This window comes from Homo sapiens, chromosome 10 (genome assembly GCF_000001405.40).
Source record: "Homo sapiens chromosome 10, GRCh38.p14 Primary Assembly".
Lineage (NCBI taxonomy): Eukaryota > Metazoa > Chordata > Mammalia > Primates > Hominidae > Homo > Homo sapiens.
In genome coordinates, this window is record NC_000010.11 from 115,850,146 (window position 1) to 115,867,487 (window position 17,342).

Sequence of the window (17,342 nt, forward strand, 5' to 3'; positions counted from 1 at the left end):
GGTAAGAGGGGTAGATGGACTGATATGTCATAAAGCAAGTAAAGTAAAATGTTAATGGTAGGATCTAGGTGCTAGGAATACTGATATTCATTATAAAATTCTTTTAACTTTGATATATGTTTAAATATTTAATAATGAAATGTTGGGAAACAATAAAACAAAATGTCTTGATTTCACTGCAAGAAAAAAGGCAGTATCTGTAGAGAAAAATTTTTCCAATATCATCATCTAGGTTTTCCCAGAACAAGGCAAATACTGACACCAATATATGAACTAAGTGACTATTTTTTTCAGTGCTCGTCCAAATATTTAGTGTATGCACAGCCAATTAAAACTTCACATATTTGAGAGGAAATATATCCCAGTGATTATTTGGGAACCATATTGGCTCTTGGGAACCAAATGCTGACACTGGTTATCTCATTGCTGAAGTTTGGTTTATTCTGTGTCTTCACAGAAAGTCCTTATATATGCCTGTGCTTATCCCAGTGCCCTACACATAGAAATCAGTTAATAAATTATTTTGATAATGATGATGACAATGATAGGAGACTTGGGAAATGTGACCTTTAGCAACCACTTGAATCTGTTAGCTTCAGCTAATTTCAGTAAAATGAGCAACAGAGTTCAAATTCATTTACCCTTTCCCAGATTCCTCTCCTAGAAGCCCTCTATGTTCTCTTGAGCCTCCTCCACTATTTGTGCAGGGTGACAGGTTGGGGGAGTTGAGGAGGAGGTAGAGGTGGAGCTTTGTTGGCAGACTCCTGACCCCAACCCCACTGTGTGAAGGACAGGGTGCCAGGGGTCTTCTCTTGGCTATTGGGCTATTTATTTCTCCAAATGTTAGTGTATCTGTTCAGTTATTAAATTAGCGTTCATTATTAAGAGTCTTCTTATAGATTAAAAGTCTTATAGTACTTTGCATAATCTCAAATTTTTTTGTCAGGCTCCTTGTTTGAAATGTAGCTTACTAAAATTTTTTTTTTATCAGGCTCCTTGTTTGAAATGTAACTTACTAAATGTCAGTGTCATGTGTACTCTCCGTTGGCATGAATAAGAGCATTTAAGAAGGATGAGCTTGAGGATCTGCAAAGGCAGAAGCATCCTATGAGCATGGTGGATTTCTCTCACACAGTGAATTTCAACCCTGAAAATGAGTGACAGAAATGCACAGGAGCTAGTTTGGCCATCTCTTTTCAGGAGCAGCTAGTGATTTTTTTTTTTTAATTTAAAAAATAGCATTATCTTTGGACTTGATTTTCTTTCCACCAGCAACTGCTTCAGCAATATGTGGCAAGTAATGCTTAGACATGGCCATTTTAGTTTCTTTCTGAAATGTGTGAACTCCCTTCCTTATGGATCTTGTCTTAACCAGAGGTCAAAAGAAAAACTGTGCCAACTCATCCCTTAGATTACCCATGCACTAATCTCTTTTTAATATAATAAATTTAGGTGCTTGGGAGAAATTCTCCCTTTAGGGGGCTTAGAATAGTAAGGCAAAAGATATTAAGTAGGCTTTTTGGCATTCCTAGAGCTGGGCTAATTAGGTTTCCTGCTTCCCCGCCCAGTAAACCTGCTGCTTCATTTCTGTATTTTCTGTGAGCAGCCACTGCAATCCGTGCCAGACTCTTCGGTTAAGGTGGGATTTATGCTGTTGTTTATGCATATGTTCACTGTGCAGCCACTTTGTCTTCTGACCTCAAAGTGGTTGAAAGATTGACATCTCCATGAAAACAGGACACATTAAGTAACTCTCCTACATGACACTTAACAACCAAGCATGTCTCCAGTCACCCCGGACAGCATGGTCCCCAAGCGTTTTAGAGGCACATTAAGATGAAATGTGGACAAAGTAAATAGAGCTCTTCAGATGCATAAATTGAAAATGATAATGATTGCTGTCACTTTGTGATGGAAGATTATGGATTTCATAATTTGTGGATTCTTCCTAATGAGAAGCAGATTAACTTTTCTCACTGAATCAAAAATCCCAATGGCCCAAATATCCACTGCTGAAAAGAAGCTATGTGCTACAACTGGAAGTAGAATTTTGCCATGATCCTGCCTCATATATGATTGACTATACCATTACCAAAAGAATACTGCCAGAAAGTCTAAGGTTTTGAAATTCTGAAGTTTTCTACGTTAGCCTTAGAAGTTTGGGCAGAATGATTAGATTATTTTGAATAATCTAGAAATATTACATAATGTTTAAAATGATAGTTTACTCATGGTGTCATGGATGTCTTTCTTGTTTATAATGATAACAATAAGATAACTTTGGTTTAATTTAATGAAAAGAGGAAAGGGAAAGAGGACCAGGCATTATATTAAGCGCTTTATGTATTCATTGGTGTGACCCTCTTAATGATTCTGTGGAGATGATTATCCCACTTTTACTATTTAGAAAACCAAAACTCTAGAGAGATTAAATGACTTTCCCAGGGTAAATGCAGCTAGTGAGTGAGTGAGCCAGAATTCAAACCCAGGGCCACTGGCTCCTCAGCCAGTGTGACTCTCCCTCATCACTGTGTCCCTGTGGATAAAGATACTGGGGCATAGCCCTTATTCCTAAAAAAGCTTTAAATCCAGAGTCAAGGAGGAAGGACCTAGAGGGTCTCTGCTGAGCAGTGGGCTTATTGTAGTAAGGACAATTTTATCTTTGCCGGTGACTTCAGAAATTTGGTAAAATGCAAATCTGTGCATGCCGTGGCGCATCTGCTCATGAAACTATGACTCGGTGTATGTAATAGGAAGAAGCCCGTGAACTCATAGGAAAAGAAATTAAACTTGTATGTCTGAGCTCTGGACTTGGAATCACAAGCCCTAAGATCTAGACCTAGCTCTGCCACTGACTAGCAATGTGACCATGGGCAAGTCTTTCAGTCTCTGGGTCTTCTATTTTCCCATGTGAAAAATGATGGGGTCGGGTTAGATTCCTAGGATGCGTTTCACTCTAACCCCACTGCACAGTTTAATACTACAAATTATGCTAAGTCATGACAGTTTGGGGTGGGGAGAGCAAATAACTTGCTTCTGAGTGGTACCTTGATTTATCTTTTCAGTTGCTCAGAGCCATTGGGAAACTTAATTTTCATATGTATTATTAGTGACTAAAAATAATTAGCATTGCTCCTTACATTTAAAAAAATCTTAAAACTGTGTTAATGAAATCTTCCTAGCATGTTTGAAAGATGTAGATGGTTTATAGTGCCCCTATTTTAGAATTGAGTAAAAGGAATCTAATACTACCAGTGAGAGGTACATTTCCCATAATCTCAGAGATGGATTGGAAATGGACTCCGGGTCTGCTGGCTCACAGTGTAGTACTTTCTCCTCTGAACACAGTTTTTTAAAGCAAATTTCCAGTTTCTAGCAGCCTCTGAAATTTCTATTCCTTCACACTTTGTTTTTCTTTTATAATTCTGCCACCATATCTTCACACTTGTAGAAACACATCTGTTGATATAATCTTAGCACTTTCTTTGTTAGAGGTGGCTAGAATAAGAAATAGAACTACTGAATTATATCAAAACTTCATTATAAAAATCTGGCATGTTAGTTACCCTTTAACCTCAAATACAAATATTGTTTATAGGCAGCGTATGTGTCTTCACAAAGAAGAAAGAAAAAGTGGCATTCATGGTAAAATAAACTAGAAAATTAGGCAGAGAGCCCAGGAAACAACAGAGATAAGAACAAATATCTGAGATTCTTGTTAATAAATATGACTCCGTGTCAAAAAATATCTGATATTAAAAGACTTTAAAATCAACAGAAGAAACTATTTTACCTTGTATCCAAAATACAGTTATTGTGAATCCCCACTTGCTACCCTTACTCATTCAAGAAACGTGTAAAAGTGTCTATTATATGACAGCACTGGATATACTATAGTGAACCAAACAGTGTTCCTGCCCTCATAGAGGTTACAGCCTATGCAGAGATAAACATTCAACAAATAATCATGCAAATAAACTCATACTTACAAGTTGTGTTAAAGTGCTATGAACAAAGAATAGAGAGATGAAATAAAACAGATGGACAATTGCTAAGTTTAATATTTGTCTACAGCAGTAATCGAGTGATAAACATAGTCATTAAAATGCCCTTTCCTCAATTCTCGCATCTCTGTAGTGTTTGACTGTCGATTATTCCCCCACTTCACCTCCCCACCTTCTGGAAACCTTCCCCTCCTCTGTTGTTTTGTGCCTTGACCCATCACAGGTACCCACTTAGAATTCACTTAGTGGCGATGGCTATAGAGCACCTCCTTTCTGTGCATCCTCAGCTTCATCTGCCCCTTGCCTACAGGCATTCCCCCAGGTCTGATCCTTAGCCAGCTTCTTTTACCTCTCCACTCACTTAGGGAAAACTTCTCTGCAGCTAACTGCCGATCCTGTGGGTCTTCAGCCAACACCTCTCACCTGCTGAGCAGCAGCATCTCAACCTGGATTTCCTCCCGTTCAGATGTAAAGTGAGCCGTCCTTCCCCCTTTCCTCTGTCACTTCCCACCATTCCCCAGACCAGCTCTTCTCTCCTGACTTGTCTGTTTTTGTAAAGTCTGTTTCAGAATGGCTCAAGTTTGAAACCTTCAAATTAGCCTGTCTTCTCTCTCTTTGTGCCCTTTTACATCTCAGTAATCGTGAAGTTCTATAGATTTTATCCCTGGAGCGGACAGAGAAGACATCTTATTTTTTCCATTCTTATTCCCTCCATGCTTTGTTCTGGGAGTGGTTGCTTCTCACCTGGGTTGCTCCCAAAGGAAGGCACAGCTCTAATCATATCGCTTCCTCATACCTTTGCAGACTTTTCATTGCCTGTTGAAATAGGTCCAGACGTTTACTCTGGAATGAAAGGTCCTCTCTGACTTCTCCTCAACTTCTCTTCCAGGTTTAGCACCCTCAGAGTCCTAAGCCTACCTGCACAGCACCACTGGCTACATGGGGGTCCTTGGACAATTATTTTAAACTCTCAGACCTTTAGTTTCTTCATGTATAACATTAGAAAAATGACTAGATAAAATATCTTTGTGATTGCTGCTAGGCCTATCATTCCATACATATTTTTCTTATGATTCTCTGAGTGTAGGTGTGGTCTGTCATACTGCTGTTTCTTGTACCCGAAATCCCCTGTGTTAGGCTGCTTATTTTCAAAGCCTGGTTCAAATGCTATTTCGTCTTCCTTGAGACCTTTTCAGTCCCTTCCATACAAATGTGACCTCACTGTCTTGAAATCCCACACCTTCTAACATATATCCATGCCTTCTAACATATATCAGAGTTGCTATGTTCTTTTCTTTTTTCCCCAGTAGTAAGCTCTCTGAAGGCAGTGGCAATATCTTATTTCATCTTTGAATCCCTAGCTGCTAACAAGTTTCTGGTACTTAATAGTTGCTTGATAAATATTTAATTGATGAATAAAATTATCTTTAAATTTTGGAGACTCTTCACCAAAAAAGATGTGCAAAAGATGTATACTCCACAAATGTATACTTTACGATGTAAAGTTTCACTTCAAGCCCATAACCTCGATAGACTGGATTTTGTGTTTTTATAATTCATGTAGGATGGATCAAGCTACATATCTCAGGGACCGAAATCAAGCCCAAAACTGTACTTTCAATGGATTACATCTATGAAAACTAACTTGTTTAGCTTTAAGTTTCAATGAACATGAGAATATTAGTGAAAGATGACACAAAACAATAAAGCAATTTATATTTCCAATGTAGCATGTCTGAAACCTATCATAGAGATCTTCTGTTTTCATGATTTGAACACTGATTTATTCCTTGGATAGTAATTTTTTTAACTATTTTATTTAAGTTTGAAAGAGCCCAACTCAATTCTACCCTTTATGACCAGAAAAATAAATTACTTTGAATCTTATGGAAATGTCCACATATTAGTTATACTCAGGACAGATAACCTCACAAAAGATAACTGGCAAATAAAAAGCATCAATTGTTGGTGTAGTCATTAAAACATACTGTTTGGAAGACCAGGCACGGTAGCTCATGCCTGTAATCCCAGCACTTTGGGAGGCCGAGGCAGGTGGATCACCTGAGGTCAGAATTCAGGACTAGCCTGGCCAACATAGTGAAATCCCGTCTCTACTAAAAATACAAAAATTAGCCAGGCGTGGTGGCAGATGCCCGTAATCCCAGCTACTGGGGAGGCTGAGGCAGGAGAAACGCTTGAACCCAGCAGGCAGAGGTTGCAGTAAACCGAGATCGTGCCATTGCACTCCAGCCTGGGCAACAAGAGCGAAGCTCCATCTCAAAAAAAAAAAAAAAAAAAAAAGCCATACATACTGTTCGTTGTGAATCTATTCTTTGCACCATGCTGTCCTTTGAGTTACTGTAACCCTATAGGGCAGCAGTCCCCAACCTTTTGGCACCAGGGACGGGTTTCGTGGAAGACAATTTTCCACAGACCTGGGGGTCAGTGGCAGGGGTGATGGTTTTGGGATTAAACTGTTGCACTACAGGTCATCAGGCATTAGTTACATTCTCACAAAGAGTTTGCAGCCTAGATCCCTCACATGCGCAGTTCACAATAGGGTTCGTGCTCCTTTGAGAATCTAATGCCTCCGCTGATCCGACAGGAGGCGGAGCTCAGGCTGTGATGTTCACTCACACCCACCCATTGCACAACTTCTGCTGTGAGTGCTGTGAGGCCCGGTTCTCAATAGGCTACAGGCTGGTACATGTATGCAGCCTGGGGTTGGGAGCCCTTGCTGTGAGGTATATGCAGTTGACCCTTGAACAACATGGGTTTGAACTGTGTGGGCTCATTTATATGCAGATTTTCTTCTGTCTCTGCCACCCTGAGACACCAAGACCAGCCTCTCCTTTTCCTTCTCCTCCTCCTTCTCTGCTTACTCAAAAATGAAGACAATTAGGATAAAAATCTTTATAATGATCTATTTCCACTTAATGAATAGTAAATATATTTTCTCTTCTTTATGATTTTCTTAATAACATTTTCCTTTTTCTAGCTTACTTTATTGTAATAATACAATATATAACATATACAACATACAAAATACGTGTTAATCAACTGTTTAGATTATTGGCAAGGCTTCTGATAAAAAATAGGCTATTAGTAGTTAAGTTCTGGAGGAGTGAAAAGTTATACAGGGACTTTAAACTGCACAGGGGGTTGGCACTCCAACCCCCATTTTATTCAAAGGTCAACTGTGTTATCACTTTTCTTTTATATATGAGAAAAATGAACCATGGATATTAAGTAACTTGCCTACAGTCACATAGTAAATAATTATGGAGTCAGAATTTAAAACCAGAAAACTTTTACATCAAAATGCTCTTTATAAATGTTTTTGTTTTGTTTTGTTTTTTCATTTCTTAGCTATGAGTAAAGACCATTAGCTGTTTGTGTTTTGAGGACAGCACAAGCTTTTTCTTTTACTGACCAGTGTCACTGTAAAATGACATGGTGATGGTCCTTCCATTTCAGACTTTTAAATATATCTTTCCGTCACTTTTGTGAGAAATTGATTAATATGTAAAGGAAACAAAAGAAAATAAGGATGAGAAGCTTAAAGAATAGTGAAAATGGCTAATTAAACATGCTGCAGAAAAGAGTCAACTTTAAAAGTTAATTCAAATACTTTAAAGACTGACCAATTAGAAACAAACTCACATGACAAATCAGGATTCATGGAAATGAAAAATGAGACCACTAGCACTGAAACGTGACCAACACATTTTTCTTTTCTTTTTTCTTCTTTCCCACCTGCCACCTCTTTCTGGTATTTCTGGAATTCACTGTTAATAATTACTGTGCTCAAAGAGAAAAACAGGAAAAAATTAAAACTCAACAAGACAACTTACAAAACCAAAGAGGAAAATCAAAATGTGTTGCAATACCCAAGCTGCCTTTGAAGCAACAAAACAACAAAGCAAGAATGTTGTGGGTGTGAATACAATGTTATGGGTCAACTATTGTGAAAGACAGTATGGTAATTCCTCAAAGATTTAGAACTGGAAATACCATTTAACCCAGCAATCCCATTGCTGAGTGTTTACGCAAAGGAATATAAATAATTCTATTATAAAGATACATGCACGCATATGTTCATTGCAGCACTGTTCACAATAGCAAAGACAAAGACCAAAATGCCCATCAATGATAGCCTGGATAAAGAAAATGTGGTGGTATATATACACCATGGAGTACTATACAGCCATAAAAAGGAATGAGATCATGTCCTTTGCAGGGACATGGATGAAGCTGAAAGCCATTATCCTGAGCAAACTAACACAGGAAGAGAAAGCCAAATACTGCATGTTCTTATTTCTAACTGGGAGCTGAACAATGAGAACACATGGAAATAGTGAGGGGAACAACATACACTGGAGCCTGTCGGGGGAGAGAGGGGTTGTGGAGAGAGCATTAGGAAAAATAGCTAATGCATGCTGGGCTTAAAACCTAGGTGATGGGTTGATAGGTTCAGCAAACCACCATGGCACACGTTTACCTATGTAACAAACCTGCACATCTGCACATGGACCTCGGAACTTAAAATAAAATAAATGTTAAGGGTAAGTTTGTGAGGTCCTCCATTTTTTTTTATGATAGCTGACACCATGGTTTATATAAAACTGCCAATTGGTAAAAAAAATTACTTTTAATTGGTTATGAATTAAATAGTCCTACTTTACATAGGTTTGGGAGAATTTAACAGAAGTTTGCTGCCTTCATTACCTCGGGCTGCTATAATAAAATATTAGAGTCTCGGTGACTTAAACAACAAACATTTGTTTCTCACAGTTCTGGAGGCTGGGAAGTCCAAGATCAAGATGCCTGGACAATTTGGTGTCTGGTAAGGGCCCTTTTCCTGGTTTGCAGATGATCACCTATAGCTGTATCCTCACATGGCAGAGAAAAAGAGCTCTGATTTCTTCTTATAAGGGCACTAATCTCATCCTGAAGCTCCACTCTCTTGCCCTTATCTAAACCTAATTAGTCCTCCCCAAAAACCCCCCACCTCCAAATACCATTATATTAGGGATTAGTGCTTCAATGTATGAATTTGGTAGAAGGTGGGGCACAAACATTCAGGCCATAGCAGGCTTCTTCTGTAGTTAAAAAGAATGGAAGGGTTCTGAGTCTCAGAATGACTAGAACCAAGGTGTCTGGATCTCTCAAGCAGGGAGCGAGAGATCCAGAGACCTTGGTTGTAGTCCCTGCTCATATTACCCCTCCCTCATATTTATTGTAACATGTTGCAAAACCTAACCAGAAAAAGAAAATAATATAATTCACCTCTTACCAGCAGGCAGTACTGCACAATTCTGCCACACAGAGCCCAGAAAAGGCAGGCAGAAGGGAACTCCCTAGATCCAGAAAGGAAAATTAAGTGACTTGAGAAAATATGTAAAGGCTAAGACTGGGTAAGTGGCCCTGCAAATTCCTTCTAGTCACAGAAACATTTTTCTGGGGGTCACCTCATAGGGCCAGTGGTCCGTCAGCAAATCCAGAAGTATGTTCAAGTTTTGATCAAAACTCCATGTTATACTGATAGCTGGTTTAATCTCGGGTCCTCCCACAGACTGTTTAATGGTGCCATAGTATCTACCAAAGGCATTTTTGAGTATGGATGTCCCCTTACTCTTAATGGAAGTCCTGGTGGAGGAGCAAGTGCCAGCAGTAAAAATGTAATTCTATAAAAGGTAAATGTTGATTACAATTATATTAACTCCTTAAGACCACAGTGATCTTTCTCTAAGAGCTTGTAGGGAAAAAGTTAATGGCCCTCTGAAAAGAGAGTAATTCATTTCCTTTTATCCACTTTATAATTTGCAAATTTGCAAATGAGCATAGCCCATGCAAGTTGAGCAGGCTTCTCTCACTGATGGGTAGCATATCCAAAGCTTTCATGCAGGTAAAAGCACTGGAAAAAATATGAGAGAGTTCATCTTCTTCCTTAGGAGCTGGGACTGAAACTGGTCCACAGGACTTCAGGGAGGTGGTTTGAGGAATCCTACATGGTCCCTGGGATCATCATTTAGAAGCTTTGAGGGAATAAAGATTCTTGTTCTCTGAACCTGCTGTCTGATATAATTTGAATTGAACCTTGAAGCCCCTAAAAATCTGGATGCAGTGACCATACATTCAGTTCCATTTATTCAACAAGCCAGGCAAGGATCATCAAATCAATAACATGACTGTGCCATCTGCCTTCCCTTTGCTCACCATCACAATGAAAAATGACTCCTTAAGTGTTCTGCAAGGCAATTAACTCTGAAGGCAGAGCTGTAATGGAGAGAGGCTGAGTTACATTTGTATTCAGAACTTTACTGGTAAAATGGAAAGGAAGCTGTTGTCCATATTAATAGATACATAAAATAGATACATAAAAAAAAATGTATAAATGGGATAATTTGGTATTACTCTATTTATGCATAATATTATACAACTGCAGAAACACAGAGCTAGGAAGGGCACTGAAATGACATATGGCTCCTCCAACTGCATGCAGCCACAGCTGGTGACCCTGTCCAGAATCATCTTGGACAGACAGACTGTTTCTAAAGACATTCCCAAAAGTCATGCTGATAACTTCCGGGACTAATTCATTCTGTTATTTAACAGTCTTCACTGCAATTTGATTCCATTTTCTTTTGTTCTCTTTCTTCTTGTTCTCATCTCTCTAGAAATAGAGAACAGCTAATTATGCTCCCTATAATAATCCATCATGTGGTAGAAGGCAGTTTTGAAATCACCACCCAGCCTTCAGTTCAGGTTCAATACAGCACTCCCAGTCCTTCCATCTGGGCCTTTGAAGAGCCTGGCTCCTAGCCTGAGTCATCTGGTGACTCTCAGAATGCTCTTCAACCTTCCCAAATATTATTGATTCAAGAGACATGAAATACAAAGGGACTCTGTATTTCTGTTTGTTCTGGTACCCTCTGCAGGTACCATTGCCTCTGCCTAGATTGTCCTACCCATCAGCCCCTCTCCGATATACACACCTCCCCTTTTGCACCAAGAGAATTTCGAATTCAAAGGTCACCTCTTTCATGAAACTAGTCCCCATGTTTACCCATCCTCAGTCCTCTGCTTTGCTTTTTCATTTACTATTATAAAATTTTTCTTACGCTGTCTCCGTCCCACCCAGGCGAGCTAAGGGCAGGGATGTTTCCCTTATTATTTCTGTAGGGGCTAAATTGTGCCTACAACATAGTAAAAGACAATTTGCTTAATTATTTCCCCCACTTTTCTTACCTGTGCATGTTGGTGCTAATGTCCCAGAGTCCAACTCTTAAGCTAGCTGTAAATTCACACTTTCTACTGCCCTTTGTCATGTACCTTGCTATAAATTAATTATAGATGCTTCTCAGGTTTTAAAAATGATAAACCACCCTAATCTCTGGCCTGAAATTTGGCTTATGAAAACTTTATTGAGGTTAAATCAGTTCCTTACTACTAACTAGGCCTGTTGTCTCAGCCCCATCCTTGTGACCTATTTGTCTCAAGTCTTAGTAGTCATTTCGCAATACATGATTTTTTCTATGTTTAACAAATTTGTTTCGGTCTTTTGTTATTTTTTTCCAGATATAAAAATATCACTTTGATACTCTGGTCATTCATAAGATCATTGTTTGATCATTTTTAACACCATTCTTTTTCCTTTTCTCAAAAATGAGGCCAGGAGCAGTAGCTCACACCTGTAATCTCAGTGCTTTGAGAGGCCAAGGTATGAGGATCGCTTGAGGCCAGGAGTCTGAGACAAACCCAGGCAACATAGTGAGACCCCCATCTCTACAAAAATTAGAAAAGAAAAAAAAATAATGTTTCATAGATTCTTTATTCTCAGTGCTTTAAGCAGGATCAGAGCCCTTACCACTTTTCTTGATGACCTGGGTATGACTCACCAGACTCTGCTTCTGCTCCTTGGACCATCCATTTATAGTTTCTGCTGACTCTTGCTAGGCTACCTGGCTCCTGTATCCTTTGTTGTGGATTTTTAGATCACAGTTGTTCTTTAAGACTGAAATTTTTCAAGCACTTTGAAAGTCTCTTTTTAAAGCATTATTTGTTATTAGTATTTTCTGTTACATATAAAAACAAGCCAAATTTTTAAACTTATTGCCTACTGCATTACAGGTTATATTCTGTTTCCCTTTATGTTTCCAGTGGATCACTTTAGTCCTCGCTTTATTGCTTTTCACCTTCCCTGATGCTTCAGAATCATCATGTTTTGTCAGCTTCTTAGGTGACTTATAGTCTTGTCACAGCACTCCTAAGTTCCATTTTAGCTCTTTGTGCAGCTCTTGCCTGTCCACTTGAACTTCCCCTCAGCCAACTTTTTTCATATGCATTAAAAGTATTTCTCAGAAATGCAAATTAAAACACTACTGAAATACTATTTCTTACCTCTTATGTTGGTGAAATTTAAAAAGTGTGGCAACCTAGTGCTGGGAAGAATGCAAGCTGGTACAACAACCGTGTTGGAGGGGAATTTGACAAGACCTAACACAGCTACACTTGTACTCTTTTGACCCAGCAGTCCCACTTCTAGGAATTTACCCTAAAATACACCTCCAGCAATATGAAACTACATATGCATGAGTTATTTATTTTAGTACTTTTTTGTAATCACAAAATGTTGGAAATAACCTGAATGACCATACATAGGGAAGCAGTAAAATGAATTTGGTACATGCATAAATGGAATACACTGTACCTGTAAGAAAGAACAAGGAAGACCTTGAGAAACTCATATGAAATTATTTCCAAAATATATTAAGTGAGAAAAGTAAAGTGCATACAGATATCTAGAGTGTCTGTCCCTAAAGTAAGAAATAGGGACTATAAGGAAATCTACAAACGTCTACTCATTTTTGCAAAAGATGTAAAGAAAGATAAGTCAGAAACCAACAAGACTGTTTACCTACAGGAAATAAAGCGAAATGGGGTATAAAAATGGAGCAATGAGAGGGGGAGTTGGAGGGACACTTCTCTGAGTACACTTTTGTATATAACTCTGACCCTTAGAAAAAACCTGACCTTTCACCTACCCAATCAGTTAGGATGTGGGAGAACCCAAAATGAAATACGAACTGTAAAAAATGAACCTAAATGTATTCAAATGAATAAATAACTATGCTGGGGGTATAGGGAAGAAAAGAGCAACCTAAGTACCTTTAGAAAATGATTATTTTGACTATATACTGTAACACCAAAAGCAACCAAAAATATATATATGAATGTACTATAGTTGTATATTTGTTTCTTCTACAAACAGGAGCATGGACCAGCAATTCTGACACTATTTAATGTCCATGCTAGGATTGAACAAAGTAAATATTTTCTGGGTAATGAGAGCTAGTTTTCTCACTGTCAGAGAAAAATGATACATATGAGGAAAGTGAGAAGACTAGAATGAACCCTGTGGCATTGGGTTGGAATTAGAGGGATCAGTATGAGTTTATTCACTGTAGGTGGATGCACATAGAAATATAGATGTATGCACGTGTGTTGGTATACAATTGTATGTTTCTTAATGCTGCCTGCTGAGAGGTCCTAGAAGCAATGATATCTCAGTAGCAATAAATGTACTTAGCACTCATCTCTTGGTTTTTTAACACCATTCTCCAATAAAATGAACAAGGACTTTTGGGTATATGGTTGATTCCAGGGCTAAGAAGGGCCAACCACAAGATAAGCTTGGAATATCTAATGGTTCCAGAAAATAAGTACTCAAAAAATTGTGAAGACATGTTAAAAGGACTTAGGAGCCAACCTGAAGGAGCAGCTAATGGCCAAAGTTGGAACAACTCGAACAAAGTAAATAAGTATAGTATTGGATTATTACTCAATAAATGTATGATCCATGAGTCCACACTGAAAGATTGAATAGATAAAGAATAGATAGTTCGAGACCAGCCCGGTCAATATGATAAAAACCTGTCTCCACAAAAAATACAAAAATTAGCCAGCCATGGTGGCATGTGCCTATAGTTCCAGCTATTCAAGAGGCTGAGGTGGGAGGATCGCTTGATCCCATGAGATTGAGGCTGCAGTAAGCTGAGATTGCACCACTGCACTCCAGCCTCGGAGCCTGGGTAACAGAGTGAGACCCAGTGTCACAAGAAAAAAAAAAAAAAAGAAGTGGGAGAGAAGAGAGCAGTGGTTTCTTATAGTAGAATTCTAATTAATGGATGTAGAAATAAGGGAAATAGAAAAATCACCATTAGACAAATACCACAGTAGTAATTGTTAAAGGTAAGAACCATTGATGAAATCTAAAGTTAATAGGACAAAACACATTGTAAAACAACACATTTGTATAGTCAGAGTATCTTCCCACAAGACATTTATTGATTACAAAGGGGAAAGCAGTAAATTTGTAATAAAGAACCCTAGCAGACATGACTTATCCAAATGATCAAGGTCAATATAGCTAGTAATTAAACATATAGAAATCATATGCCTGCTGACATGTTGCATGGAGAAGAGCAAAATATCACTTCTGTGGTATTCTTCTTAAATGTGTAACACCAATGTAATCACAAGAAAAGAGGCCGGGCGCGGTGGCTCACGCCTGTAATCCCAGCACTTTGGGAGGCCGAGGTGGGCGGATCACAAGGTCGGGAGATCGAGACCATCCCGGCTAACACGATGAAACCCCGTCTCTATGAAAAATACAAAAAATTAGCCAGGCGTGGTGGCAGGTGCCTGTAGTCCCAGCTACTTGGGAGGCTGAGGCAGGAGAATGGCGTGAACCCAGGAGGCGGAGCTTGCAGTGAGCCGAGATGGTGCCATTGCACTCCAGCCTGGGCGACAGAGCGAGACTCCGTCTAAAAAAAAAAAAAAAAGAAAAGACCAGACAAATCCAAATTGAGGGACAGTTTACAAAACAAAACCACCAAAACTCTTCAAAAGTGCCAAGGTCATAAAAGACAAAGAAAGACTGAGGAAATAATACATTGGAGTCTAATAACATATACACGCAATAAAATCCTGCATTAAATCCTGGACCAAAAATAATATATAACTGAGAAAACTGGTAAAATTCAAATAGGGTTTGTTGATTACTCAATAATAGTATATTAATGTTGATTTTCCAGTGTTAATCATTGTACTCTGGTTATGTAAAATGTTTTCATTTGGGGAAGCTGAATGAAGAGCAAATGAGATCTCTGTACTCATTTGCAGTGTTCCTGCATGTCTAAATTTATCTCAAAGTAAAAAGCTAATAGAAGTATTTTGTCAGGACTCTTTTATAAGTTGGTCATATTCCAAAGTTCAATCTATAGTTTACAGGCTCTATTTTGTCATAGAAATCATATTTATTTCATTATATGGTTCCTGGGCCAGCCTCAAAAGCTTACTTAACCTACAATTTTTATATATGTATGTGTATCTCTATTTATTAAGTAGTCTCACTGTATTCTTGAACATAACATAGTATAGCCATGTTCCCATTATAGAAAAATACCCCTATCTTACAGGTAAAGAAATGAGGTTACAGAAAGGTTTCTTTACTTGCCCCACATTTTTTATTTTAAGATTTTAGAGCAAGCAAGTTGCAGACCTGATTTTAGAGCCAGGTCTGTGTGACGCCGTATGCTGAGTTTCCCTGCTGAGGTATCTGAGGCTTTGTCTGCTAGGCCACTCACTCACACATTAGCTGCTGAAAAGGGGCAAATCTTATGGACACTTCTGTGCTGTCCTCTGGAATCTTTCCCTTGATTCTTTTTCTTTTCCTGGATTGTTGAACAAAATGTTCATGTTTATTTTGTTCATGAGAATTGCCTTGTTTTTAGAAATAGTGACTTTTAAATAGTTTGTGGATTTTTTTTCTCTAATTCTGCCTATCATTTTAAAACCATGTTTTATAGATAAATCAAAAAGTGTAGAACTCCTAATGCAGCATTTGGAGCAAAGTTAATAAAATTTTAAAACAAGAGGATATATATTTACTAAATTACACTGTGCTTATAATGTGCTGCCATATTTTTGTTAAAATTTTTTAATGCTTTAGATAATTAAGCATCTCAAGACTATAATATTAGGCTAAGAAGCTCTTTCCCATTAAAATATTCATAAATTATGTTGACACGAACATGGTGTTCTGAACAATTATAAGGAGTGGGGCTCCTAATGCAAATGTCATTCCTATTATGACTTTTTCTGAACTTAGAAAATACATTCAAGTAGTCTATGGAACTGTCCAAAAGATACACAGAAACCAAAACCAAAACAAACAAAAACCACCATTTATCAGGTACTTACTGTGATTCAGTCACTATCATAAAAGTATTTTCTTATGTTTTCTCATTTAATCTTGCAGTAACTCTGTAAGGTAGATACTACTGTGTCTATTTGACAAATTAGCAAAATCAAAGTTCAAAAACCTACCAGTAGTTAGAGAGTTCATAATTGACAGGACCAAGATATGAACCTAGTTTTTGTGTCTACTCTACAGTTTATGCCTTTAATCCTTGTACAGTACTCTAGTGTTTCCTGACAGGAAAGCATTAAATACAGCATAGAAAACTAAGAAGGAAAAATGGCACCAACATGAAATATGTTAAGCTTATATTTAATCTGCTGTTTTATGGGAGTTTTTTTTAAAGGAGCGAGAAGAAAAGCTACAAGGGATTTTAAAGAGTAATTCAAAGATCAAACATGATTTTTATCTTTTGTCCCAGAGCACTTCAGATTCAAACCCAAGGCTTCACCGCTGCTGATGCACATCCGCCTCTGAGTCTCGTAATTGGTAAATTTACATCATGTGTGTCACCAGCAGCTTAAGAAGGGAACAGATGTCAGTTTTAGGAAATCCTGTGAATTTCAGGCTTGCTCAGACTAATTGGTCCAATTGATAAAATGCTAATGAGAAAGTAAATTCAAACCTTTACCATAATAAGTCTGAATTCTGACCAGTAAAGATGAATGTAACTGCCTTTCTGAAATTCCTATTTTTCACAGAGTAAAAAACATATTTTTTTCTTTAAAAAAATAAAGCCATATTTGTCCTTTAAGAAAGTGTTAATGTTGAGCTGGTAATGTAAGAATTACCTAGAAATTTTAATTGAAAATATTAACTGTTTTATACAATTAAATTCATTTTTTGGATTTCTTTTTTTAGAGCAATAGAATTCCATGCTGTCACTTGTTAGATTTAATGTCATCTTGATAACACATCTAGGAATACCAAGCAACTAACTGCTTAAGCATTAACGTTTTTTCCATGTCATATAATAAGAGGAAGTTTCCATTTACTTATACCATCTTTAATAGAAAAGAATGGTACAAGTCAAGGTCAAAGTCTCCTTACTGGAAGCAGCAGCCTGGCAGGCT

General features: G+C 37.9%; 1 protein-coding gene across 8 annotated transcripts in view; it reads left to right on the plus strand.

The window, feature by feature from the left end:
* ATRNL1 (attractin like 1) overlaps positions 1-17,342 on the plus strand; it is an 855,635-nt gene that overhangs the window by 756,781 nt on the left and 81,512 nt on the right. Inside the window, exon 29 of one of the 8 annotated variants that reach the window (XM_017016035.3) lies at positions 4,387-10,074. The exons of the other annotated variants lie outside the window; for them this stretch is intronic. Coding sequence (XP_016871524.1) covers positions 4,387-4,481 — 95 coding nt within the window. The 3' untranslated portion in view covers positions 4,482-10,074. Of the gene's footprint in view, positions 1-4,386; positions 10,075-17,342 lie in introns of those variants that run through there. 8 annotated transcript variants of the gene reach the window in all.